This window comes from Homo sapiens, chromosome 21 (genome assembly GCF_000001405.40).
Source record: "Homo sapiens chromosome 21, GRCh38.p14 Primary Assembly".
Classification (NCBI taxonomy): domain Eukaryota; kingdom Metazoa; phylum Chordata; class Mammalia; order Primates; family Hominidae; genus Homo; species Homo sapiens.
In genome coordinates, this window is record NC_000021.9 from 37,572,908 (window position 1) to 37,600,249 (window position 27,342).

At 44.8% G+C, this 27,342-nt stretch overlaps 1 long non-coding RNA gene across 1 annotated transcript in view, besides 3 other annotated features; it reads left to right on the top strand.

The window, feature by feature from the left end:
* Positions 1–27,342, top strand: part of KCNJ6-AS1 (KCNJ6 antisense RNA 1) — a 222,067-nt gene that overhangs the window by 54,272 nt on the left and 140,453 nt on the right. The gene's annotated exons all lie outside the window — the stretch shown is intronic.
* Positions 14,802–15,589: an enhancer, noted in NCBI's record as "NANOG-H3K27ac hESC enhancer chr21:38960011-38960798 (GRCh37/hg19 assembly coordinates)". NCBI's record gives its function as "activates a minimal SCP1, AML or CMV promoter by ChIP-STARR-seq in primed H9 embryonic stem cells {active_cell/tissue: H9 hESC(primed)}" and the evidence as "EXISTENCE:reporter gene assay evidence [ECO:0000049][PMID:30033119]".
* Positions 19,400–20,237: an enhancer, noted in NCBI's record as "OCT4-NANOG-H3K27ac hESC enhancer chr21:38964609-38965446 (GRCh37/hg19 assembly coordinates)". NCBI's record gives its function as "activates a minimal SCP1, AML or CMV promoter by ChIP-STARR-seq in naive and primed H9 embryonic stem cells {active_cell/tissue: H9 hESC(naive and primed)}" and the evidence as "EXISTENCE:reporter gene assay evidence [ECO:0000049][PMID:30033119]".
* Positions 20,238–21,077: an enhancer, noted in NCBI's record as "OCT4-NANOG-H3K27ac-H3K4me1 hESC enhancer chr21:38965447-38966286 (GRCh37/hg19 assembly coordinates)". NCBI's record gives its function as "activates a minimal SCP1, AML or CMV promoter by ChIP-STARR-seq in naive and primed H9 embryonic stem cells {active_cell/tissue: H9 hESC(naive and primed)}" and the evidence as "EXISTENCE:reporter gene assay evidence [ECO:0000049][PMID:30033119]".

Consider the following 27,342-nt stretch of genomic DNA (forward strand, 5'->3'; position numbering starts at 1 on the left):
CAAACTAACTTCATAGGTAGACAAGATTGAGACCCTGATTTCAGAGTATGCACACCTGTAACAATAGCTGAATCTTGGCCAATCCCAGCAGCCGTACTTCAACCACTCAAACACTGCTGAGTGTTCACACTATGTTCAAATAAGGCCAACACCGAGCCATAACCAATCCAGCTGTTTCTGTACCTCGCCTCTGATTTCTGTACATCGCTTTACTCTTTTTGTTTATAAATGTGCTCTGACTACGAGGCACCCTGGGAGTCTTTCTGAATCTGCTGTGATTCTGGGGGCTGCCAGATTCGTAGATCATTCATTGCTCAATTAAACTCCTTTAAACTTAATTCAGCTGAAGTATTTCTCTTAACACACTTTATGTCTAACCTTTCCAGTTTCTTGATGCACCTTTTAAAAATTGAAGAACAGGCTGGGTGCAGTGGCTCATGTCTCTAGTCCCAGCACTTTGGGAGGCCGAGGTGGGCGGATCATGAGGTCAAAAGATCGAGACCATCCTGGCCAACATGATGAAACCCCATGTAGTAGGGTCTTTAGTAGAGATGTCTCTACTAAAAATACAAAAATTAGCTGGGCATGGTGTCATGTGCCTGTAGTCCCAGCTACTCAGGAGGCTGAGGCAGGAGAATCGCTTGAACCCAGGAGGCAGAGGTTGCAGTGAGCCAAGATCGTGTCACTGCACTCCAGCCTGGTGACAGAGTGAGTCGACTCTGTCTCAAAAATAAATTAAATAAATAAATAAATAAATAAGTTGAAGAACAGATGTAGGGAGCTAACACTTCACTGGGGTGTACGTGAAAATCCCAGAGAGGCCAGAGCGAGAGCTCAAGGGATTGAGGAGGGAAGGAAGGAAACTCATGGAAGGGGATGAGTTACTGATCTGGTCCCAGCTTCTCTAGGATGGCCAACTGGTTGCTGCTGGGGAGGCTGTTTGGCCACGCTGTTTGTCAGAATGCTCCGCAGGAGGGGGAGTGGGAAGGATGCATCCAGTGGAAACCCCCATCTGTCTCCTCTCATCAAAATTCTCTTCTCAGGGGGAATTTTCATTAACTCTCCACAGCTCTGGGTCCCCCTCCCTACCCAGGAAGCCCGAGGGGTTAGGCTCTTTCTCAGGATACCCCTTCTCTGGGCAGCCTGGCTCCTTTCTCTCTGTTTTTTAAAAAAAATTCATTTTCTGGCCAGGTGCCCTGGCTCATGCCTATAATCCCAGCACTTTGGGAGGCCGAGGCGGGAGGATTGCTTGGGCCCAGGAGTTCAAGAGCAGCCTGGGCAACACAGTGAGACCCCATCTCTACAAAAAATTTAAAAAAATTTTTTTTCTTTCAGGATGGGCCCTGTAGAGTGCATTTCTCACAGGGAGCACGTGTTTTGGGTGCTGTCTTTCCATAGGGCCCTTCTGACTGGCGGGTGAACCTCTGTGACTTTCTGCTTCTGAGTGGTCTTGGTGGGACTTCCCCCACTTGGGAAGGCTGTTCCTTTCTTTCATGTAACCGAAGCTGGGATCTTGGGGTAGAAAGAGTCAAGGGCCATGCAAGCAGCCCTGGCAAGGCCAGGCTGCGGGAGGGGTGACATCTGCTGTGTTTCCCCCATTGCTTACACCTCAAACCCGTGGTTCCTGTGTTCTGGTCAGTTCTGCCTCTGGCTGGCCTCACAGACCCTGCATGTCTAGAGCATGCCCTTGGGCTCGTTCCTGGGAGAAGAATGGCCACATCAGGACAGACACCTGCCTGTCTACTAAGAAACACGTCCCCATGGCCCTGAGTCCCCCTTGCCTCACCTGTGTCATATCCTGCATTTCTGGCCCTGCCTCCTTCTTAGCTCAGCTCTGCAAAGAACCTTAGAGAACATTTGGAACAGTGGTTCTCAAACTTTAGCAAGCTTCAGATTTCTCTGGAGGACTCGTTACAGATGGCTGGGTCACATCCCCAGGCGCTCGAAGTGCCTGATCTAGTTGCCTGTGATGAGGCCTGGGAATTTGCATTTCTAACAAGTTCCCGGGTGCTGCTGGCTCAAGGACCCCACTTGGAGAACCAGAGCGCTAAGGGTCCTCGGTGGCCCAGCAGGACCCCTGCAGATGCCTAAGGCAGATCAGTGCTCAGTGGCTAGGAGCGCAGACTGGAGCTGGCCTCCCTGGGCTCAAATTCTGACCAGGGGCAAGTGACTGAAACTCTCCACTCAGTGTCTCCATCTGCAGTAGGGATAGTGACAAGGTTCTGGGGGTGAAGAGAAAGAGAGTGTCTGGAAAGCACTGAGAGCAGTCCCAGCTCATTATTTGGGCCGCATCAATGCAGCCTATTGTCATTCTTGTTTTGCTCACAGGGAAAGAGAAATTTAGGGGGTGAAAATTAGGCCCAAGCTGGCCAGAAGCCCATCGGAGCCTAGACTCCTTGTCTTCTCACTCCGGTGGCATTACCTTTCCACTCTCCAGGCCACCTCCTTTTGGTGTCTTGGTCACGTAGCTGCTTTCATCAGCCCCTGAGGAAATGTGGGGTCCATCCAGAAGAACATGGAAGATGTCTGTAGATGCCACCCCAGGCTTCACCCAGTGCTTTCACTGGGAAGAAAGAACACAGGGTGGGAGTTTGTCGCCAGCTCTTGCATTTCCCACCCGCATCTCTCAGGGCCTTTCTTTCCTTGTGTGAGGATAACAGTGGTGCCTACCTCTGAGGTTTCTGGAAGGATTACATTTGACGAAATATGATCAAGCCCCTAGCAAAGTGTAAGGCACAGAGTCCGCCCTCTGTAGAGCCTCGTTGTCACCACGGCTGACACGGGTGTCCTCTGGTCTCCTAGGATCAGGCCAGGTTTCCTTATCTCCGCAAGAAGTCTTCTGGTGCATGGGCCCAGCTGTCAAAACAGATGGTTTTGCTGTTTCCTTCATTCATGCAAACTATTAAAAATAAATCCAGGAGTGACTGCATGGAGGCGTGGCAGCTCTGCGGTTCTGCCAGGGGCTGGGTGTCCCCAGCTGTCCCCGCCTCATGACATCTCCTCCCCGCCCCCTCTGTTACCCTTTGATCCCCGTCTACACAGCACAACTCACATTTTCTCTATTATTTTATACCATTCCCGTTAGTTTTAATCCTGTGGTCCTAGATTTGTATTTACATTTTTTTCTGATTATTGGACACCATTTTGTCCAAAGCCCTGCCCTCTGGCTTTCATGAGTAACAGTGAAACCAGATCGAAAAACTTGAGAAAATTGAAAAATTCTTTCCTTTGAACCACACTTTTAGGGAAAAAAGGCAAAGCATAAGAATAAAAAAAAGCTAATAAAAATTAAGAGACATTGTTAATTTATTTGAAGACCTTTGAGGGCCTGTCTTCACACCACCTCCACCTCACTATCACCAGGAACTGTGACTGATGTCATTGAAACATGGCCAGGACTTTGTATGCAGGTGTATTTAGGTTTGTGGGGTCCAAAACATATGATTCTGGGGGCCCACTTTAATAATAGGAAATTATGAATATGAAGTTAGGTATAAAAGTGACTATCTATTTAGAAGAGACACCAATCACCATCAATTATAAATTTAATAACACACACATAAAAGGATCCAGAAAAGTAACCTAGTATTTTATTTATATTAACTAACTATATTTTTTTTGGGGGGTGGGGGATACCTATTCTTTGCTCTCCTCTTCATTTGATGAAATTTTTAAAATTTTCTAAAAAAGAGAATGGATTGGTAATCTGGTCTTTCCCCTGGCATCTGGAATCAATATTTATTTATTATCAACAGGTGAGACATTATTTATTTATTTATTTTAGCCTCACAGCTCATTATTGGTAATGATGTCATGCAAAGTTTTAGAATTGTTGTTAAAATTGGGAAGACCTCTATCAAGTTTCTTTCACACATGGGCTTTAAGTGTTCAAGGCATTTCATGTTTTCTTGACTATGCTTAAGTAGTCTTTGAACCAACATTTCCTCATTATCCAGATGGTCAAGATTGCCTATATTATGAGTTTTTCATTATCAGTGTCAGTATTCAGTGCCACAAAAGCAAAAAATTGGAATCTTATTTCACTGTGTTCCTATGATTCACTTTTTTTTTTTTTTTTTTCAGACAGGGTCTTGTGCTGTTGCCCAGGCTGCAGTACAGTGGTATGAACATGGCTCACTGTGGCTTCAACTACCCAGGCTCAAGCAATCCTCCCACCTCAGCCTCCCATGTAGCTGGGACTACAGGTGCGCACCACCACACCCAGCTACTTTTTTGATTTTTTTTGTAGAGACAGGGGTCTCACTATGTTGCCCAGGCTGGTCTCAAACTCCTGGGCTCAGCAATCCTCCTGCCTTGGCCTCCTAAAGTGCTGGGATTATGGGAGTGAGCCACTGCACCTAGCCCACTTCTTATTATTAATTGGATATCAAATCATTCAAGAAACTATTTATTATTTCTATTAGAAATTTATCTTCCTATTAATGATTTACTGCTTTTGGTGTAAACTTTTTTGTTATTGAAGTTCCTTTTTTAATATAGAAATAATTTCTGTTGTTTCATTATTCATCATTATAGCTTTTAAAATATTCTATTTTTTTCTTTTAACCCTTTAACAAATTTTAAATTGTCAAAAAGTTACTTTTTATGCATGTCTACATAAAGAGTCTGTAATTTCTCCCATGTTTTATCGAAACATTCCAAAACATCTTTTCAAATCACAGTTAAATTAACATATTCAAGCTTCGTCAACATTTTGAGTAAATTTTTTTTGGCATTCCTGTTGTGTTTGGGTTTCTCTCTCCCTCTGTCATGCAGGCTGGAGTGCAGTGGTGCAATCATACTTTACTGCAGCTTTGAAATCTTGGGCTCAAGTGATTGCCTTTCCTCAGCCTCCTGAGCAGGTGAGACCACAGGCATGTACCACTCTACCTGGCTATATATATATTTTTTTTTGGTAGAGATAGGTGCTGTTATGTTGCCCAGGCTGGTCTTGAACTCTTGGCTTCAAGTGGTCTTCTACCTTGGCCCCCAAAAATGTTGAGATCATAGGCACCCGTCACCACACCTGGCCCTCTCTTGAATCTGTAATAACATATACTAGAATCCTCATAATACTATTATAACCATGTTTCAAAGGTTGGAGAGGTTTATAAGGACATCTCTGTAATTAGACCCATCAAAGAAAAATCCAGTTGATATGTGTGCTTAAAATACTCCATCAATGAACCTGAACTGCCCCCCCTGCCACATATAACTATTGCAGAATATCAGGGTAGTTAAAACTTTAGGTCCTGTGTAGGCAGATACTTTTCCTATGAGTCAAAGAAATGAGATGTTCAATGCCCATATATTGTGATATTTGTGTCACCAAGCTGGGTGAATTGGAAGAGTGTGTAGGAAGAGTATTCCTAGAGGTCATTTCTACACTAGACTAGCTGGTGATAAGTTCATGTGGAAGTAATTGTGAAGCACATACATTTATCCTGTTAAACCCAAACTAAACTTAATCCCACCCCTGAGCCAGAACACAAAAATCACGGCAGCCACTCCAGTTCCACCAGTCATGAGGGGAAGTGTGATAGAGGGAAACTGAAGTAGGTGGAGACAGTGGTCTAATTCTTGAATCTGTGTATTGATGTCATTCATCAGTTTTGGGAAAAAATTTCAGCTAGCATCACTGCAAATATTTATTCTGACCTATTTTGTCTCTCTTCTTCTCTGGGACTTCAATTACATGTGTATTAGACCATTTGGTATTACCTTACATTTCTCTCACCCTCTGCTTTTTAAAAAATACTTTTTTCTTTCTATGCTTCAATTTAGAGAATTTCTACTGAGAATTTCAAGTTTACCAAAGCTTTATTTTGTTCATTCTGCTATTAAGCCCGCCCACTGAATTCTCTACGTTGGTATTGTGTTTTTTAGTTCTACAATTTCCATTTGGTTCTTTTTTGGGGTTTTGATTTCTTTGCTAAAATTCTTTATATTTTCACCCATTTTGCCCATATTTCCCTCTAAAAATGTCACCATATGTATTAATTAGTTTAAAATCTTTAGTTGCTAATGCCAACTCTGGGTCATCTGTGGGCCTGTTTCTACTGACTGCTTTTTCTTTTGATTATGGGTCATACTTCCCAGTTTATATGCATGGCTTGTAGTTTTTGTTTTTTTTTTTTTTGAGGGAGTCTCACTGTCACCAGGCTGGAGTAAAGTGGTGCAATCTCAGCTCACTGCAACCTCTGCCTGCCAGGTTCAAGTGATTCTCCTGCCTCAGCCTCCCGAGTAGCTGGGACTATAGGCACAGCCCACAATGCCCAGCTAATTTTTGTGTTTTTAGTGGAGACAGGGTTTCACCGTGATGGCCAGGATGGTCTTGATCTCTTGACCTTGTGATCCCCCTGCCTTGGCCTTCCAAAGTGCTGAGATTACAGGCGTGAGCCACCATGCCCAGCTGGCTTGTAGTTTTTTTATTGAATGCTGCAGTTTATGTATACCATAGCAGTGGAGACTGAAAGAAGGTACTAATTTTTCTAGGAAGTGCTTGCCCTTTTGTGTGTCAGGTATCTTGGATTAGGATCTGATCTCTTCAATCTAATAATTAGTTGAGCTGAATTAGAGTTGAGGTTGCCACTCCAGTTGATTTAGTTCACCTCTGGTTTCAAATATCTTGAGTGTGAGATCACCCTCTCTCCAGGAAGGCTATGAAATCTAAGCACCATGACACCACAACATTTCTCTCTGCTTTTCTGTGTCATCTCCTGACTTCTTGGACACCATTTATTCAATAAATTTCTATGAGAGAGAGTTGGAAGACGGACAGAGATGTCCAATGCTGTATTTGGGATTCCTCCAGGTTCAAGTCTAACACTAGCTGTAAAATTTCCAGTTAGTTTCTCCTTATTCCCCCAAATTTTATTTGCCTGTAGCAGACTTGATTTTCTGTCCATCTACAACCCCATGCTTGACAACTTACCACAGGAATGGAAGGGACCAGTTTTCTCACCTGACATGGGCTCATCCATCTCTGGAATTTAGTTTATTTGGATTTCGAATCTATAGGTTTTAAATAGTTTTAAAGAAAAAGACAATTTAATAGCTTACCAGTGCTTTATCCTTGCTCTGCTGGAGTGGTGGTCTTTTGTGATTTTTTACATCCTAACCAGAAGTTGAAACACTTAATATCTTTTTAATTTTGTAAAATCTCCTTTTTTTTCATTTTTGCATTTTACATTTCTTTTAAGGCATTATTTGTTTTGTTTATTGGCTCTGATGTCCCTTCTAATTTAGTTTTTATTTCTGAAAAATTTCCTTTATACTTCTAATTCTGTTTTGTGTTCTGTCATCTTCATCTGTCTTTCAAATCTTATATTTCTAAATGTTTCTAATTATGATTTAAATGATACTTTAAGATACTTTAATGACACCTATCATTTTCCTAGTTCTTTTTACCTCATTTCAAATATTAGGTTACATTTTCATCTTCATTGAATGTGTACCTCTCTGTTGTATTTTCATTGTCTGTAGGGCCAATATTATTGTTGTTATTAATATGTTATTATTCTGCTTTCTCTTATCATAACTTTATATTAGATTTGGCTATCATCCATTTTATTGCTTTTTTTAAAGTGAAACAAGTTTTTCTTTGTTCATAGGATGAGGCATAGGTCAAGACAGGTTTTCAAACTTCATGGGTCTACATTCCCTCTTCTGTTGTTTTTCCAAAATGATTTCAAAAATACTGCCTGTGTTTTCTGAGATCTGACATTCTGATCCCCATTCTGCATTTTCTTCTAAGTCATTTCTCTTATCTGGGCATTTTGTTTGCTAGCTTTGAAGACTTATAGACTGCTTCACTGTGGTCAGAATAGTATTGTGGTCTCCTTTACCCACTCAGGAACTGAACCCGGTAGAGTCATCTCCCAACCTGCCACTCTCGGATTGGAGCTCTGTGCTTTCAGTGAACACAGGTCAGCAGTGTTGTTTTTTCCTGTCCTCTGGACTGTTGGAATCCCAGTTGACTTCCCCAACTTGCCAGTTGTTTCCCTTTACACAGATCCTCATACCACGTGGGTCCTGCAGCTGTTGGTGGTTTGTGCCACACACTCTTACTGTGAGATTCTTTGGGATTCCTGGTCATTGATTTTGTTGTAGAAGTACAAAGTCTTTGATTTTGATATGCTAGTTATTCAGTCTGTTTTTATAAGGAAATTTGAGGAGATTAAATTATTAAACCCTATAATCTCCCCAGAATCCTTGTCATAATTATGTTCAAAAGACTATAAAAGAAAAAAATAGTTTACTAATTATCCACCTCTGGTGCCAGTCAACTGAGATATTTCTGGAAAGGATGGTTCTCTCTCAGTTTGATGGCTAGACAAGGTCATACACACCATCTATGGCTGTTTGCAAAGACCCCCCAAAAGCCTGATCTGGTTCCTTGACACCTTGAATTTTCTCTGTCAAGGGCTGAACTGTGTCCCCCAAAAGTCATCTGTTGAAGTCCTAACCCCCAGTACCTCAGAATGTGACTGGATTTGGAGATAGGACTTTTAAGGAGGTGACTGAGGTTAAATGAGGTCACAGGAATGGGTTCTAATTTAAACTGACTGGCATCTTTGTAAGGAGAGGAGGTTAGGACACAAACAGACACAAAAGGAAGACCCTGTGTAGACTCAGGAGAAGACGCCATCTGCAAGCCAAGGAGAAGGGCTTCAGACTGAAATGAAATGAAACCCCCACTACAGACACCTTGATCTTGGACTTCCAGCCTCCAGAACTGTGAGAAAATAAATGTCTGGGCCGGGTGCAGTGGCTCATGCCTGTAATCCCAGCACATTGGGAGGCTGAGGTGGGCAGATCACAAGGTCAAGAGATCAAGGCCATCCTGGCTAACATGGTGAAACCCAGTCTCTACTAAAAATACAAAAATTAGCTGGGCATGGTGGCGGGCACCTGTAGTCCCAGCTACTAGGGAGGCTGAGGCAGGAGAATGGCGTGAACCCGGGAGGTGGAGCTTGCAGTGAGCTGAGATCGTGCCACTGCACTCCAGCCTGGGTGACAGAGCGAGACTCCGAGACTCCGTCTCAAAAAAAAACAAAAAACAAAAACAAAAAACACATTTTGTGGAAAGAACAAGAAAGAATAAGGTAGAGTGATTTTTATTTTATTTTTTCTGTTATTTTGGCACAGGCACGACAAAGACCAGGAAGTGATTGGTCTTTTATCTGTTTTCTTATCTGTTTCTATTATGGCTGTACCTGAAAGTGTTTAAATTATACCAAATATTTTCTTGCTCTCTCTCTCTGTGTCTCTCTGAGTTTTACTCCAAAGGTTTTCTGGAGAGGGCACGCGGTGGAAACCAGACTTTGTTGGCGGAAAGAGATGGTTCAAACCTTTTGTCTGCTGCTTGCTCACTGGACGTTGGGCGAGGCATCTTACATGTTTGAGCCACTGCTTCCTCATTTGTAACTGGGAAATGATGCCCTCTCAACGGATAGACATGAGCGTTATATGAGATAAAGCTGTAATTTGCTTCCTGGCCCATAACAGACCCCAAATAAATGCTATTTTCCATTTCTTCTCTTCCTTCTCCCAACCCATAGTTAGCCAGAAAAAAACCAGTTATGAACCAAAGAAAATTCCAGTTCACTGAATCCCTGTTTACATTTATGTAAATTAGAAGCATAAATGTAAATTACATTTATGTGCACTGCACTCCCAAATCAGTGTCCTCAGCAGGAGTTCAAAGAGGTGCTGCTCCCAGACTCAGGAAGTGCACCACTAGGCCGGTCCATGGACAGTCTTCTGAGCATGGGCCCCTCTCAGAAACAGAGGCTGTTTCAAGAATTCTATAGACATTGCATTTATTGGGCAACTGGCAAGCTGATGTCCCACCTAGTGGTCAGTGGGAGGTAGCCCATTTCAAGAAGAGATGAGAAGACCTTTCATAATATCTTCTGCTGGGCAGAGCCTGAAGAACTGTGTCAGCTCACCCCATTCTCTCCATTTACAGAGGCCTGGGCACGTACAGCACAAGCGTGAGGCATGACAGGTGCAGCGTGCAACGTCCTCTGGCAATGAGGGTGGGGCTGGTGAGAGTCACTCTCCTGGAGAGAGAGAGAAAGTCCTGAGATTAAGAGGCATACCTTTGAATGGTTTCCCTAAAATATAAAATATTTCAAATACACAGAAAAGTTTATAACACACAACACATTCCCCACCCAACTCTCTTGAGTGCTAACATTTTGTCACACTTGCTTTCTGTTTTATTAAGAAGCAAAACAATACATATGCCGTCAAATCTCCTAAAATACCCTTCCACGACCCTTTCTCTTCCCTGTCTTTCACCCAGTGGTAACCATCAGCTCCAATTTTGTGTGTACCTTTAATGGCATTCAAAAATTCCACTAACATCCCATGTGTGAATCCATTTTTTACATGTTTTCAAAATTTATTTTATTGATGACATGCTGTATGTATTTTTTCTATTATGAATAATGCAATGAACTTTCTTGTGCCATTTTCCCTATGGAACTTCTGCAAAAGTTTCTCTATTATTTTTTTACATGTGGAACTGCTGGATCAAAGAGCAAATGTTTTCTTTCCAGAGGTATTGTACCAAATTACCCTTCAAATCTCCAGAGGTAAGAAGACCTCATGCTCTATATTTGCACTTATGTTGAGATTGTTAGTCTTCTTAATATTTTCCATTTGATGGTTATGAAATGACATTTCATACTGTTTTGATTCATAGTTTCTTATTTAGTAGCTATATTGAACATCTTTTTATGTTTCTTGGCCTTGTATTTTTTTTCTCTTCTGAATGGTCTGTTGATATCTTTTGCCTTTTATTTTTAGTTTTCAGACAGGGTCTCGTTCTGTCATTCAGGCTGGAGTGCAGTGGCGGGATCACAGCTCACTGTAAACTTTGTCTCCCAGGTTCAAGCAATCCTGCCTCCTCAGCCTCCTGAGTAGCTGGGACTACAGGTGCACGCCACCATGGCTGGCTAATTTTTGTGTTTTTTGTAGAGACAGAGTTTTGCCATGTTGCCCAGGCTGGTCCCGAATTCCTGAGCTCAAGTGATCCTCCCACTGTGGGCCTCCCAAAGTGCCAGGCATGAGCCACTGTGCCTGGCCCCTTTTATTTTTTAGTTGGACTTTTTTCCTTACTGATTCTCAGGGTTGCCTTATATATTCCTAATAGGAATCCCCATTTTCGGTTATATGCTTTGCAAATATCTTCTCCCATCTGTATCTTATCTTTTTTATAAGTAAAAAGTTTAAAATAGAGTTATATACATTCATAAAAATGCACAAATCATAAATGTAGAGCTCAATGAATTGTTACACCCATGTAACCATCCAGATCCAAGAATTGGAATACAACTTGCCCTACTTCCTGACCATTCTAGCACCTGCCACACTCCCAAGATAAGCACCGTGCAGATTTCTGAGTAACTTTGTGTTGTTTTGAACTTTATATGATGAAGTCGCACACCATATACTCTTTGGTTTTTGTTTTTTTTCACTTGATTATAAAGTTGCAAGATTCGCTTATAATGTTGCGTGCAGCAGTCATTGTTTATTTCCCATTTCTATTTAGTATTTCAATGTATGTATCTACCTACTTTCATATGAATCCATTTGAGTGTTAAAAATGTTTGGGTAGGATGGACGTGGTGGCTTATGCCTGTAATCCCAGCACTTTGGAAGGCCAAGGCAGGCAGATCACTAGAGGTCAGAAGTTCGAGACCAGCCTGGCCAATATGGTGAAACCCCATCTCTACTAAAAATACAAAAATTAGCTGGGCATAGTGGCACATGCCTGTACTCCCAGCACTTTGGGAGGCTGAGGCAGGAGAATCGCTTGAACCCAGGAATCGGAGGTTGCAGTGAGCCGAGATGGTGCCATCACATTCCAGTCTGGGCATCGCAGCGAGACTCTGTCTCAACAACAAACAACAGCAGCAGCAACAACAACAACAACAAGTGTCTGGGTAATTTCCATGTTTGAACAATTATGAATAAAGCTGCTGTGAACATTCTGGTACATGCCTTTTGGTGCGCACAGAGCGAAAGTGCGAGGTCATAGGGCCCACGCGTCCAGCGTTTGTAAAGTCTGCCTGTAATGATGCTGCGAGTGCTGAAGACCCTTCCATTTTCGACCTGTCAGGATGTTAGCTGCTGCTGGGAGCTGCCTGGCCAAATGCTATCCTCTTAGCCCAGTGACAGTCCTGATTTAATGACTAGGAGATGTGGGGATAAAACAGCCCAGCCCCACAGGTTAATGCTGGACGTCTCTGAAGGACCATCCCAGCTTCAGAACTTCCTGAAGGATCACCTGAAGTCTCCATTTCAAAGTTGAACAGAAGCAGTCAGGACAAATACAATTTTCCCTTCTTACCAGTGTAAGGGGGAAAGCAACCTTGTATTTCTGGAATCAACTCCATTGGTCATGATGTATTTTTTATATTTCCCTTGTTATTATTGGTAGTATTTTAAAAAAGATGTTTGGACCTAACTGCATGAGGGATATTGGACTATCATTTTCTTCTCTTATCTTCTCTTGCCATAAAATGAGTAGGGAAGAGTTTCCTCCTACTATATTTCTGAAAGAGATTGGTATTTTTATTTCTATTTGATAGACTTTACTGGTGGAACCATCTGGGATGAGTAATTTCTTTGTGAGAAAATTTTAAAATTACAAAATTCAATTTCTCACTATATATATATATGTAGATGCGATTTCTCCTAGGTTTATAATTTGTGTCTCACAAGGAATTTGTTCATTTCATCTAAATTGTCACATGTATTGGCATAAAGTTGTTTATAATATAACTTTATTAATTTTTTACTATTTGTAGGTACTATAGTAATGAGCCCTCTTTATTCCTGATATTGATAATCTGTGTGTTGTCTCTTCAGTTTTTTTTTTTCTTAATCAGTCTATTTAGAAGTTTATCAATCAACCAGCTTTTGATTTCCTGTAAGTTTTCCTATTATTTGTCCACTTCCAATTTCACTGATTTCAGCTCTTTACTGTTTCCTTCATTCTTTTGATTTTGATATTATATTACTCCTCTTTTTTCTTCTAATTTCTTTAGGTTGATACTTAGATAACTGATGTTAGACTTTTCCTGTTTTTCAATAAAGAATACATTTCTGACTACATGGCAGCATCCCACATATTTTGATATTATATTTTCATTCACTCGCATTGAAATATTTCTAATTTCCTTTGTGATCTCTTCTTTGACCGATGAATTACTTAGAAATGTACTACTTAATTTCCAAACATTTGTGGATTTTCTAGATATCTCTTTTAGTGGCTTGTATTTTAACTTCATTGTAGTTAGGGTACATACTTGGTATGATATAAATCCTTTAAAATTTATTGAAACTGTTTCTGACACTGGATATGGTCTATAGTGAATGTTCCGTGTACACTTTTTACAAGATCTCTCTTAAATAAAATGCAAAGCTATAAAATTTCTAGAAGAAAATTTGCATAACCTTAGGTCTATTGATGAGATTTTACATATACAACACTAAATGCATGATCCATTTAAAAAGTTTATAAGTTATTTACAAGATCTCTCTTAATTTATATAAATATACATTGAAATCAGTACTGCCTGCATCACTGACTTTTATTTTTTATTTTTATTTGTAATTTTTTTTTTTTTTTGAGGCTGGAGTCATTGGCACGGTCTCTGCTCACTGCAACCTCTGCCTCCTGGGTTCAAGTGATTCTCCTGCCTCAGCCTCCTGAGTAGCTGGGACTACAGGCATGTGCCACCACGCCCGGCTAATTTTTGTATTTTTAGTAGAGATGAGGTTTCACCATATTGGCCAGGCTGTTCTCGAACTCCTGACCTCGTGATCCTCCTGCCTCAGCCTCCCAAAGTGCTGGGATTAGAGGCGTGAGTCACCGCACCTGGCCGTATTTTTTATTTTTAATTTGTTATTATTTGGGTGAATTTAAGGGGTACAAGTGCAATTTTGTTACATGATTATATTGAGTAGTGGTGAAGTCTGGGATGTTAGTGTATCCGTCATCAGAATAATGTACATTGTGCCCATTAAATCATTTCTCCTCATCCACCTCCCTCCCACCCTCCACCCTTCATAGTCGCCAGTGTCCAGTAATCCACAGTCTCTGTCCATGTGTACACATCCTTTAGCTCCCATTGATAAGTGAGAACGTGTGGTATTTGTCTCTTTCTAAATCTCCACGGGTTTAACATAACCTAAAGCATCTGTTGGTAAACTCAGCGTTTCAGGTGTGAAAACTCTGAAGTAGAGGCACCATCCAGCGAGATGAAGCAGTCAACTCTGACCCTACCCTAATGTGTGACTTAAGAGTCCTGAGCACCTGAGCACCTTACTCTGAAGATGACTGTCCCCAAGGGCATGCTGTGTCCTAGCCCAGTGTCAGTAACAGAGCTCCTTCTGCCTCATGCCTTACCCTCTTCTCCCTCTGCTCAAGAACCAGTTGTTTGGCTGTGAAAGTGGCACCACGTAGGGAAGGGAGTCACACACCCAGCCCTGAATCCTGAACCGGCTGGGCACAGGTGTGCTGTGAGAGTCTCGGAGCCTCCCACAGGGATCATCTTGCCTGCCTTGCAGGTTGGGTATGGACGATACATCACTTATGTGTGGTGCCAGCCACAGAGTGAGCAATGAACACATTCATTCATTTATTCCACAAATATTTATTAAGCAACTGCTTTACACCAACAACACCGTCCAGGCACTTGGGATAGGGTAGTGATTAAAATATAAAAAGGCCTGCCCACGTGGGGCTTAGACTCTAAAAAGCAGCAAAGAAAATGTAAACAAATAAACATATTTCAGGTCAGGAGTTGGCTGGGGCTGCTGGAACAAACTGCCACAGGCCGGGTGGTTTGAACAACTGAAATCTCTTACTGATCTTCCTAGAGGCCGGAAGTCCAAGGTTGAGGTGTCCCTGGGGTTGGTTCCTGCTGGGGCTGTGAGGGGAAATCTGCCCAGGCCTCACCTCAGCTGTAGATGACCGGGCTGGTCCTGCCCAGGTCCAGCCTGGAAGGAGAATATCTCCTTGGTCTAAGAACCATTTGCCTTGTGTGGGAAGAGATTGATAGGTGGAAGTTTCAGCGGGGGAGTAGGTGGGAGTGACTGATGTGAAGGAGAAAAACTAGCCATGAGGGACAGAAGTTGGAATGCTAGCTGTTTGTCTAGCCACCTTATCAGCATAAGCATTGCCTAGAGCAATGGGATCTGATGCCTTTTGATGCCCCTTGCAGTGAATGACTCCAGCTTCCTTTGGAAGTAAAGCGGCTTTGAGAAGTGTTTTTATTGAAGAGGGATTAATGATAGAGGATCCTTGTGTAGTGAGGAAACCTCTTGTATGGTGGTGCAGGATATGGATGGCATATTTAGAGTCAGTATAAATATTGACGTGTAGTCCCTTTGCAAGAGTGAGGACTTGACTTAAGGCAATGAGTTCGGCTTGCTGAGAGGTAGTGGATGGGGGCAGAGCGATAGCCTCAATGATAGGTGTGGAAGATACTATAGCATAGCCTGCCTTTGCTGGTGAGTGGCGATTAGGCCTAGTGGAACTGCCATCAATAAACCAAGTGTGATCAGGGTGAGGAACAGGAAAGAAGGAAATATGGGGAAATGGGGTGAATGTCAGGTGGATCAGAGAGATACAGTCATGGGGATCAGGTGTGGTATCAGGAGTAATGTGGGAGGCTGGATTGAAGGCCGGGCTAGGAACAATGGTAATTGTGGGAGACTCAACAAAGAGTGAGTACAGCTGAAGGAGCCGGGGAGCAGAAAGTATATGTGTCAGGTGTGAGGAAGAAAATAGATTTTGGAAGTTATGAGAACTGTAGAGAGTGAGTTGAGCATAGTTTGTGATTTTAAGGGCCTCTAAAAGTATTAGGGCAGTGGCGGCCGCCGCACGCAGACTTGAGGGCTAGGCAAAATAGTAAGGTCAAGTTGTTTGGACAGAAAGGCTACAGGGTGCGGTCCCAGCTCTTGTGTAAGAATTCTGACCACACTAACCATGCCTAGGAAGGAAAGGAGTTGTTGTTTTGTAGGTGCTGGGGTTTGAGAGATCAGTAGGACATGATCAGCAGGGAGAGCACGTGTGTTTTTATGAGAATTATGCCGAGATAGGTAACAGATGAGGATGAAATTTGGGCTTGACTGAAGTAATGGGGGCTATCTGTGAAGGCTTGTGGCAGTACAGCCCAGGTAATTTGCTGAACCTGATGGGTGTTAGGGTCAGTCTAAGTGAAAGCAAAGAAAGGCTAGGATGAAGGGTGCAAAGGGATAGTAATGAAAGCATGTTTGAGATCCAGAACAGAATAATGGGTTGTGGAGGGAGGTATTGAGGATAGGAGAGTATATGGGTTTGGCACCATGGGGTGGATAGGCAAAACAACTTGGTCAATAAGGCGCAGATCCTGAACTAACCTGTAAGGCTTGTCTGGTTCTAGGACAGGTAAAATGGGGGAATTGTAAGGAGAGTTTATAGGCTTTAAAAGGCCATGCTGTTGGGAGGCCGAGGCGGGCGGATCACAAGGTCAGGAGATCGAGACCATCCCGGCTAAAACGGTGAAACCCCGTCTCTACTAAAAATACAAAAAATTAGCCGGGCGTAGTGGCGGGCGCCTGTAGTCCCAGCTACTTGGGAGGCTGAGGCAGGAGAATGGCGTGAACCCGGGAGGCGGAGCTTGCAGTGAGCCGAGATCCCGCCACTGCAGTCCAGCCTGGGCGACAGAGCGAGACTCCGTCTCAAAAAAAAAAAAAAAAAAAAAAAAAAAAAGGCCATGCTGTAACAGGTGAGTGATAACAGGCTTTAATCCTTTTAAAGCGTGCTGTGGGATGGGATGTTGGCATTGAGCAGGGTAAGGGTGATTAGGTTTTAATGAGATGGTAAGGGGTGCATGATCGGTCGCCAAGGAGGGAGTAGAGGTATCCTATACTTGTGGGTTAAGGTCGGGGGAAACAAGAGGAGGACGCAAAGGAGGCTTTGGATTGGGAAGAAGGGTGGCAATGAGATGTGGCTACAGTCCAGGAATAGTCAGGGAAGCAGATAATTTAGTTAGTGTCTCGGCCTAATAAGGGAACTGGGCAGGTGGGGATAATTAAAAATAAGTGCTTAAAACAGTATCGTCTAAGTTGGCGCCAGAGTTGGGGAGTTTTAAGAGGTTTAGAAGCCTGGCCGTCAATACCCACAACAGTTATGGAGGCAAGGGAAACAGGCCTTTGAAAAGGAGGTAATGTGGAGTGGGTAGTCTCCGTATTGACTAAGAAGGGGATGGACTTTCCCTCCACCGTGAGAGTTACTCGAAGCTCGGCATCCGTGATGGTCTAGGGGGCTTCTGAGGCGATTGGGCAGTGTCAGTCTTCAGCTGCTAAGCCGAGAAGATCTGGGAAGGAGTCAGTCAGAGAGCCTTGGGCCAGAGTTCCAGGGGCTCTGGGAGTGGCTGTCAGGTGAGTTGAACAGTCCGATTTTCAGTGGGGTCCCGCACAGATGGGATGCGGCTTAGGAGGAATCCTGGGCTGCAGGCATTCCTTGGCCTGGTGGCCAGATTTCTGGCACTTGTAGCATGCTCCCGGGGGAGGAGGTTCTGGAGGAACCCCTGGCAGCTGCGCTTCAGGCGTTTGGAAGTTCTTGTGTCCTGGAGATGTGGCTGGGGTTTGTCTCACAGTGGAGGCAAGGAATTGCAACTCAGAAATATGTTGCTACTTGGCTGCTTCTACTCTATTATTGTACACCTTGAAGGTGAGGTTAATTAAGTCCTGTTGTGGGGTTTGAGGGCTGGAATTTAATTTTTGGAGCTTTATTTAAAGTCGGGAGCGGATTGGGTAATAAAATGTATATTGAGAATAAGACGGCCTTTTGACCTTTCAGGGTCTAGGGCTGTAAAGCGTCTCAGGGTTGCTGCCGAACGAGCCATGAACTGGGCTGGGTTTTTCATATTTGATGAAAGAGCCTAAACGCTAACTGATTTGGGAGAGGTCGGATAAAGAAAAAGGAGCATTAACCTTGACTATGCCTTTAGCTCCAGCCACCCTTTTTAAGAGGAAATTGCTGGGCTGGTGGGGGAGGGCTAGTCACGGAACGAAACTGTAAGCCAGACTGGTGTGAGGAGGGGAGGTGATAAAAGGATTATAAGGTGGAAGAGCGGAGGCTGAGGAAGAATTGGGACCTAGCTCAGCCTGGCGAGGAGGGGAGGGGTCAGATGGGTCTGTAGAAAAGGAAGATTAGAAGGACTCAGCGATGCTTGGGGTTGGGACTGAGGGGACAGGCAGGAGGGAAAGAAGGAAGATTTGGGACGACTTGCATTGGGAACAGAGACTAGAGAGGGACTGATGTGTAAAAGAATGCCTGGATGTCAGGCACCTCAGACCGTTTGCCTATTTTACAACAAGAATTATTTACATCTTGTAGAATGGAAAAATTGAAAGTGCCGTTTTCTGGCTATTTGGAACCATTGTCAAGTTTGTATTGGGGTCAGGTGGCATTGCAGAAGAAAATAAGGCATTTAGGTTTTAGGTCAGGTGTGAGTTGAAGAGGTTTTAGGTTTTTAAGAACACAGGCTAAGGGAGAAGGGGGAATGGAGGGTGGAAGCTTGCCCATAGTGAAGGAGGTAAGCCCAGAGAAAAGAGAGAGTAGAGACATGGAGAGAAGGGGTGGGGGGTTCTTGACCCCCAGAAAAGCGGAGAAGGGGTGGCGACACAGAGAGAAGGGGTTGGGGGGTTGTTGCCCCCAGAAAGGCGGTACTTGCCGCTAAGGGTGAAGGACCAAGGCAGGCGTCCCGTGGTAAAACACCTCTGAAACGTGGGTGAATAATCAGGGAGGTGTCCCCGCGTGATTAAACACCAAGGGAAGACTTCTTGAGTCCGTGACTGGCGCTGGAGTTTTGGGTCCACGGATAAAACGCGTCTCCTTCGTCTCTACCAGAAAAGGAAAGGAACTGAAATTAAGGGAGAGATTAAAGTGTGGTGCCAAGATTGAAAGGAGAAAGAGGTTGAGGGACAGTGAGAGAGGTTGGAGAAGAGAGTAAAAACAAGGCCACTTACCGGAGTTAAAATTGGTGAGATGTTCCTTGGGCTGGTTAGTCTGAGGACCAGAGGTCGTAGGTGGATCTTTCTCATGGAGCAAAGAGCAGGAGGACAGGGGATTGATCTCCCAAGGGAGGCCCCCGTTCCGAGTCACGGCACCAAAATTTCACTCGCGTCCTTGTGAAGAGACCACCAAACCGGCTTTGTGTGAGCAACAAGGCTGTTTATTTCACGTGGGTGTGGGTGGGCTGAGTCCGAAAAGAGAGTCAGCGAAGGGAGATAGGGGTGGGGCCATTTCATAAGATTTGGGTAGGTAAAGGAAAATTACAGGCAAAGGAGGGTTGTTCTCTGGCGGGCCGGAGTGGGGGTCACAGGGTGCTCAGTAGGGGAGCTTTTGAGCCAGGATGAGCCAGGAGAAGGAATTTCACAAGATAATGTCATCAGTTAAGGCAGGAACAGGCCATTTTCACTTCTTTTGTGGTGGAATGTCATCAGTTAAGGCAGGAACCGGCCATCTGGATGTGTATGTGCAGGTCACAGGGGATATGATGGCTTAGCTTGGGCTCAGAGGCCTGACATCCTCTCAACCCCCAACTAATTACATTTGCAAAGACGCTATTTTAAAATAAGGTCACATCCTGAGGTTCTGGGTAGATGTGAAATTTGGGGGATACTATTCAACCCCTTACAGGCATTCACACTGGGCTCAGCATGTGGTAGCAAGGTAGTCACCCACAGTGGCTGGAAGCTCCTTCCTTTAGGCCTGAGACAGGAGGCCCTGAGAGTCCTGGTCCCGACCTGGTGAGCCCTGCTCCCGCCCCAGATGACCCCTCATGACCCCTAATCTTTGGGGACAAGCCTGCTGACACTGACCAGGCTGGAGGACATTTGTTTGCTCCCCTCCTCCAGCACCCAGGGCAGCCCTGGAGTTTTTTCTAGCTTTCCCCGATTCTTTTTTCAGCCCTATTTTATTTTCTGCATCTTTTTTTCCTATATCTCAAGTAGCCTGCAATCAAACCAAAGCCACGGTCTGAATGTTGTGGTTATTGAGAGGGTAAAGTTTTTTATTTTTATTTTTAGAGATGGCATCTCTCACTGTTACCCAGGCTGGAGTGCAGTGGTGTGATCCTTTGGACTCAGTTGATCCTCCCGCTTCAGCCTCTTGAGTAGCTGAGTCTACAGGCATGCACCACTGTGGAGTCCAAATTAGTAAGCAACAATGAGAAAGGGGCCCCCTGTGGGGACAGCCATTGTTCTGAGAGACCGGTAATCACAGACAACCCACTAGCACAACATCCTGTTCCCAAATACCTCGCGCCACACAGCGCCAGCAGCACAACCTCATTCTGCACATAGCCCCCTCCAGTGTGAACCTATAAAACTTCCCTCCAGCCCCTGCCTCTCTGCACACAGCCCTTTCTCTGCTGTGCTGTCCATTAAACCCTTGCAACATTTCTCTGTACCTTACCTAATAAATTGGCCTTTCTTTACTTACAACTGTCTTGGTAAAATCTTCTACCACCTGTGATGCTGGCCCCAGCCAGTCGCACCCACGACAGCCACCATGTCCGGCTTTTTAAAAAAATTTTTGTAGAGATGGGGTCTTGCCATGTTGCCCAGGCTGGTCTTGAACTCCTGGCTTCAAATGATCCTCCTGCCTCAGCCATCTAATATGCTGGGATTACAAGCGCAAGCCACCGTGCCTAGGCTGCAAACGTTTTTCTAAACGTTAAAGCAATCATTTGTTTAAAACTATTTTTAATTTGAAAAGAGAGAGAAAGTACAATAGGTAAATGCGTGAAATTGGTGGTGGGCTGCAAAAATGCTCATACTGAGTTCTTTCTGTCTGTCCCCTCTCGACTTGGTTATCAATTCCTGCACCCCCTTGGGCTCTGTCAGGATTGCATCCTGCCTGCTTTGTACACATGGAACAGACTTCTGGGTTCTTGGCAGCCCTAAGGGATCAGGCTCTAGTGAGTGATCACAGCCAGCGCTGCCTTCCTTTCAGGCCCTGGTGCTTCTCTGTTTATGTGCCTTACGGCTTCTGCAGCGCTGCGATGCCTGGAGGAAGAATTTCCCACTTAGAGGCTTACTGCTCTGTGCACAGACACGCGAGTTGCAGAATGAGTGTCTAATTTGGCGTGGCCCATGAAGGGTGAAGGCTCAGCCCCACGTCTTGGTTTACCTTCAGCTGCTGGCAATGGAGGTGAGGGGGAGGGTGGGGCCGTGGGTTTCCACTTAATTTGTTTCTCCTGGATCTTTGGCCCTGGCAGCCTCCCTTCAGCATTTCGAGGTACGGATAAACCCCCGGAGAAGGTTTGTTCAGATTCCATTTGACACCAGTTATCTCGGTCACCCTGTGTCTGAGTGCCGGCTAAGTAGCTGTCCGCCTGCATTTCCCACTGCAGTCTTCTCACTTCCAGGACTTGTTAGGGTGCATTAGCCAGAGCTAATTAGCAGTGAGATTGTTGCTGTGGCTCAGAGGGTTTCATAGGGCGGCTCTTCGTGGCTTCAGCATGGGTGCACACCAAGGGATGACGTGAATAGCGATCCTGACAGTTGTGTTTTCATCAGGGAGCTGCTGTGACCCTCTCGTTGGAATGCCGTGAATATGATGTGGTTCTGTCTTCCTTGTTGCTACTTTTTGGCGGGGAAGTGATGTGTGAATTCGGAGAAGGAAGCAGAGGAGGGCCGGGTGGGCGTTGCCCTGGGCAGGTGCTGTAGAGGGAGGGGACAGTGTGGAAACTGGGCTGAGGGAGTTAACCCCTCTCACCAGGCCCCTTCCCAGCCCAGCGTCCGCAGAAGTGGAAGGGAAATGGCAGTGAGGCCTCATGTGGCAGGTGGTTTTCCAAAGCTAACTACAAAGCTGTTGCCACGCCTATGGTCTTCTGTGAACTTGCCACCCTGTGATGGTGGAGCCTCTGCGTGGTGGAATCCTGGAATCCGACTGCATGGAGCATCGGAATATGGTGAAAAATCACTCCGTTCCTCGTGTGGATAGGTAAACCAAAAATAAAATTCTAACCCCGCCCCCCGCCCTCCCCATCTGAAGGTACCCCTCCCCTTGGCAAGGGTATTGGAAGGCTAACCTGAGGGACTGGTTCAGGCCACGATGTGGGGCGGGGGCTGGACATGCCTCACTATCCCCTCCTCCCTTTCAGAATGACTGATAGAACAGGCTCTTTCAGTCTAATGAGAAACATTTACAATCTCTTCTCTCTGAAGCCTGCTACCTGGTAGCTTCAGCTGCATAATAAAACTTTGGTTTCCACAACCCCTTAACATAACCCAGACACTCCTTTCTATTGATGCCAGGTCTTTAGATAGTAACTTAACTCCTTCAACCGATTGCCAATCAGAAAAAATTTAAATCTAACTATAACCTGGAAGTCCCCTCCCCGCTTCCAGTTGTCCCGCCTTTCTGGACAAAACCAATGTTTATCCAACATGAACTTGATGTCTAGTGTCTCCCTAAAGTGTGTAAAACTAGGCTGTGCCCTGACTACCTTGGGCACATGTTCTCAGGGTCTCCTGGGGCTGTGTTATGGGCAGAGTTTGGCTCTTTTCACTGACAGACATTAACATTAACTGAGGTGCTTTGGCTTCTAGCCCCTTGGAAGCTGCCGTCCTGTAAGGAGGGGCACCTGGAGACTTCCCGACTGGGAAGAGCTCACATCTTGTGGAGTTTGGGGGCTGCGGAGACAGAGCAAGACAAGGAGGCTGAGGCACCCGCTGATGGTGCTTGGGTCAGAGACACATCCTCTGTGCCTGTCCTCCCAATCCCTGACCTGTAAAATAATGAGAAAATAAAGGATGATTTGAAGCCTTGAAGTGTGGGGAGGCTGCCTATGGAGCAACCACATCACCGGAGCATCCAGCCAAGACAAGGCTGGGATGCGGATGAGGTTGTAAGATGAGCTGCCCAATAGCCTGGTGGATGGGGATTTCAGCGGCTCTCCCAGGCAAAGAGAGGGGCATCTGGCAGGGCCCAGTGAGGACTCTGGCTTCCTGTGCAGCCTGGTGGAGGCCCCCATCTCACTGCCTCTGGGTGTGAGAGGGGACTGAGCAAGAGCAACTCACTGTCCGCTTGCTGGGAAGCTCAACGTTCATCTCCCCACTTAGCAAATGCATCCCGATTACGTGTCCACAGGCCTGCTGAGACAGGAGGAGCAAACAGGTGACCTGGGCCCTCAGCAACTGACGGTGTAGTGGCACGTCCCAAGAAATCCCTGCACATCCCTGGGAGGGGCAGGCGGGTTTCCATGGGTCACTCAGAGTGGGGAGTGCAACCCAGATGGTGGCTGCTCCACCAAGAGCCTCCCTTAGCTGGTACCTCTCTGGATGCTCCTCTGGGGAGTCTTAGCGATGGAAGCAATATGGCCATCAAGGTATCATAGCTGGGTCATGACATGAGCACCTCCTGAATCCAGGTGGATAAATACAGGTGAGATTTGCTTAGGGGCTTTGAGGCACCACTTGTTGAGACCCCTCTCCCTCGAGGAACAGGGAGTCATGTTTAGGGACTAAGCCCTGATCTTTTTCCCTTCGTCTTTGTTATCCTTGGCAGTAGCCCTGAGCCCTCCTGTAAAAAGTAAAGTAGAGGTTCCTCTTCAAAGATTTTCTCCCCATTTAATTAGGAATAAATAGTAACTTCTCTTAAAAGCAAAATTTATTCAAAGACCTGCACTAACATTCTTAAATATCTGCTAGCCGTAATAAAGAAATCAATATACTTTATGTTCTTAGCTCCCACAATTTAGCCTAAATATTTGCCCTGGCATGCTTATACTGGTCCAAGCAAGCATTAGGTCATAGCCTGTTCCTCTTCCTTATTTGAAGGTGGTTTTACCTTTCTCAGCATTCCGCAAAGTTACTTCCTCCTTCCTCTGTTCTCCTCTGCCTTTGCCTGTTTTAAAAAGTTCTAAGTTGCTAGCCAATCGAGACAAATACAGAATGTGAGGTTCCCTTCCAGCCAGTGGAAACCGGACACAGCAGTAGGGTGGACGCGTCAGGTTATAAATGATCCCGTCTCCTTTGTTTGGTGTATTGTCGTGGCAAAACTGCTGGCGAGTGTACCCTTTCTGCAGAAAGTATAAAAATGGCCTTGCTAAAAAAATTAAATTTATGTTCAAGTGCTATTTCTTTCTTTCTTTCTTTTTTTTTTTTGAGACAGAGTCTTGCTCTGTCGACTAGGCTGGAGTGCAGCGGTGCGATCCCGGCTCACTGCAACCTCCGCCTTCTGAGTTCAAGCAATTCTCTGCCTCAGCCTCCCAAGTAGCTGGGACTACAGGCACATGCCGCCACGCCCGGCTAATTTTTTTGTATTTTTAGTAGAGACGGGGTTTCACCGTGTTAGCCAGGATGGTCTGGATCTCCTGACCTCGTGATCCGCCCACCTCGGCCTTCCAGAGTGCTGGGATTATAGGCGTGAGCCACCACGCCCGGCTCAAGTGCTATTTCTTTACGGCACCGGGAAACAAGCATTTTAAACACCTCCTGACTCACTGAAGCCAGTTTTTGTTACTGGGCAAGAAGGAATGGCTGAAGATCCCCCACAACGTGGTGCCTCCTCTGCCCAGCAGCCTGTGCCTTATGGTGTGAGACGCAGCCCCAAGGACTTTTCCTCAGGAGGAGGCTCATCTTATCCTGGGGCTTGTGGGTTTTGTCCTGGGCTCAGGAGGGCACTGCACGTTTATAAAATAAAACCTCAGATTTCTTTAATAATAGGGAATTAAAAGGGAGTGGATAAACTTAATGTAAAGACAATTCACAAATGTTTTAATCAATAGTTGTATTACTCCACCCTCACGCTGCAAATAAAGACGTACCTGAGACTGGGTAATTTATTTTAAAAAAAGAGGTTTAATGGGCTCACAGTTCCACGTGGCTGGGGAGGCCTCGCAATCATGGCGGAAGGTGAAGGAGGAGCAAAGTTATATCTTACATAGCAGGCAAGAGAGCATGTGGAGGGGAGCTTCCCTTTATAAAACCATCAGATCTCATGAGACGTATTCACTATCGTGAGAATGATAAGGGAAAAACTACCCCCATAATTCAATTACCTCCCACTGGGTCCCTCCCACGACACGTGGGGATTATGGGAGTTAAGATTCAAGATGAGATTTGGGTGGGGACACAGCCAAACCATATCAATAGTTTAATCAAAGCTACTTATGGGGAGCTAATTTGAAACTTCCTTCTGTTTCTTTCTTGTTCTGGACGTGTGCGTTACGATGTTATCACCAACTCTCCAGCAGCAGTGGGATGAGCTGGGAAGTTCATCATCATTTCTATGACTGATTGAGATTTGATTCTGTCTGATTTCATGCCTGCATGGGCACATTTTTCAAACAGTGTGTGGTCGGCCCGTTCCTCGTATTCATTCATGGCTTCTGTGTGAGGAACCTGTGGTCAGTGTTAAGGGGACAGTGTGACCAGCAGGGATGATAAAGCTGTGGGCATCTTAGTGAGGTTCTTGGGGTAGCTCCTCACCCCTTGATCACCCCAAGGGCCACGTGGCTTGCCCCTGAACCTCCCTTCGCGTCCAGCTTCCTGGGCTGGTCAAACACTGATTCCAAAGGAACACTCACACGTTGGTCTGCTTGAGGGCTGCAGAATCGTGTGTGGAAGTTTGGCAGCTCCTTGGCAAGCCTGCTCCTTCCCCAGCAAATGGAAACACCATTCTGAACACCTGGGCATTGTCTCTGATGTCCCTTTTCATCTCCCTACTCTCACACAATCCAGCTGCCTCTCTGCCTTCCACGGATATTAAGAACGTCCACCATCTCCTGAGTCCAAGCCCTTCTCACTCACCTCTTTCTTGAACTAATTTCTTTCTGTTTTTTTCCAGTCCTCCCTTCTGTTCATGTCTCTCCTCTGCACACTTCCATTTTCTGGTTCAGAAAATGTCACCGTCCCAGTCACACTTGCCTTATGGCTGTTGTGTCATAAATACAGTTGACACTTGAACAACATGGGTTTGAACTGCATGGATTCACTTATACACATATTTTTTCAATACAAATATATTTAAAAATTTTGGAGATTTGCAACAATTTGAAAAAACTTGCAGATGAACAGCATAGCATAGAAATATTGAAAAATTAAGAAAAAGGTATGTCATGAATGCATAAAACATATGCAGATACTAGTCTATTTTAACCTTTACTGCCATAAAATATACACAAATCTATTATAAAAGGTTAAAGTTTATCAAAGCTTATGCACACAAACACTTATAGACCATATAGGGAGCCATTCAGTAGAGAGAAATGTAAGCGAACGTAAAGGTGTGCTATTTAATCACAACTGCATACACACTGTACCACTGCACTAATTTCAGAGCCACCTCCTGTTGTGATTGTGGTGAGCCCAAGTGTTGTGAGGATCTGCTTAAAATGCCATGTGATGCTCATCCTGTCTGTGTGAGCAGTTCATTTCTCCAGGAGATCGTGCATCGCAGGAAAAAGTGATCTCTCGAGTGTCCTGTGTATTTTATGTCGTGTCTGGTGCAATATTGTAAACATTGAATAACATCATGGGACCCATGCGAAGTTCCACTAGTGGTGCTGGAAGTGCTCCCAAGAAGCAGACAAAAGTCATGACATGCCAAGGAAAAGTTGACTTGCTACAGAACTCGGATTGAGGCCTGCCGCTGTGGTTGCTGCCATTTCAGACAGATGATCCAGCTTGTAAACAGATGACATAAACTTATGGTATTGATAATAGGGCATAGCACTGTCCATGTACTTTCTCTTCCTTATGATTTTCTTAACAATGTTTTCTTTTTTTCTAGTTTACTTTACTGTAAGAATACAGTCTGTAATGCATATATGAAATGTGTGTTAACCGTTTATGTTATGGGCTTCCAGTCAATTATACTACTAATAACTTCCAGGCTATTAGTCAAATTTTTAGGGAGTCAAAACTTATATGTGAATTTTTGACTGTGTAGGGGTCCTGCGTTCTTCAAGGGTCAACTGTGCACCGCACTGGGTGGCTTAAACAACAGAAACGTATTCTCTCATGGTTCTGGAGGCCAGAAGTCTGAAATCAGTACTACTGGGCTGAAATCAAAGTGTTAACTGAGCCCCTCTCCCTCTGGAGGCATCGGGGGGAATTCCCTTCCTTGTTTCTTCCAGTTCTGGTGGCCTGTGGCCTTCCTGGGTTGCGGCCACATCACTCTGATCTCTGCCTCCTTCTCCTCTGTGTGTGTTCTGGATCTGCCTCTCTCTTATAAGCTACATGTGATGGCACTTAGGGCCCACCTGGATAACACAGGATAAGCTCCTTCTCTCAAGAATCTCTACCTTATCACTT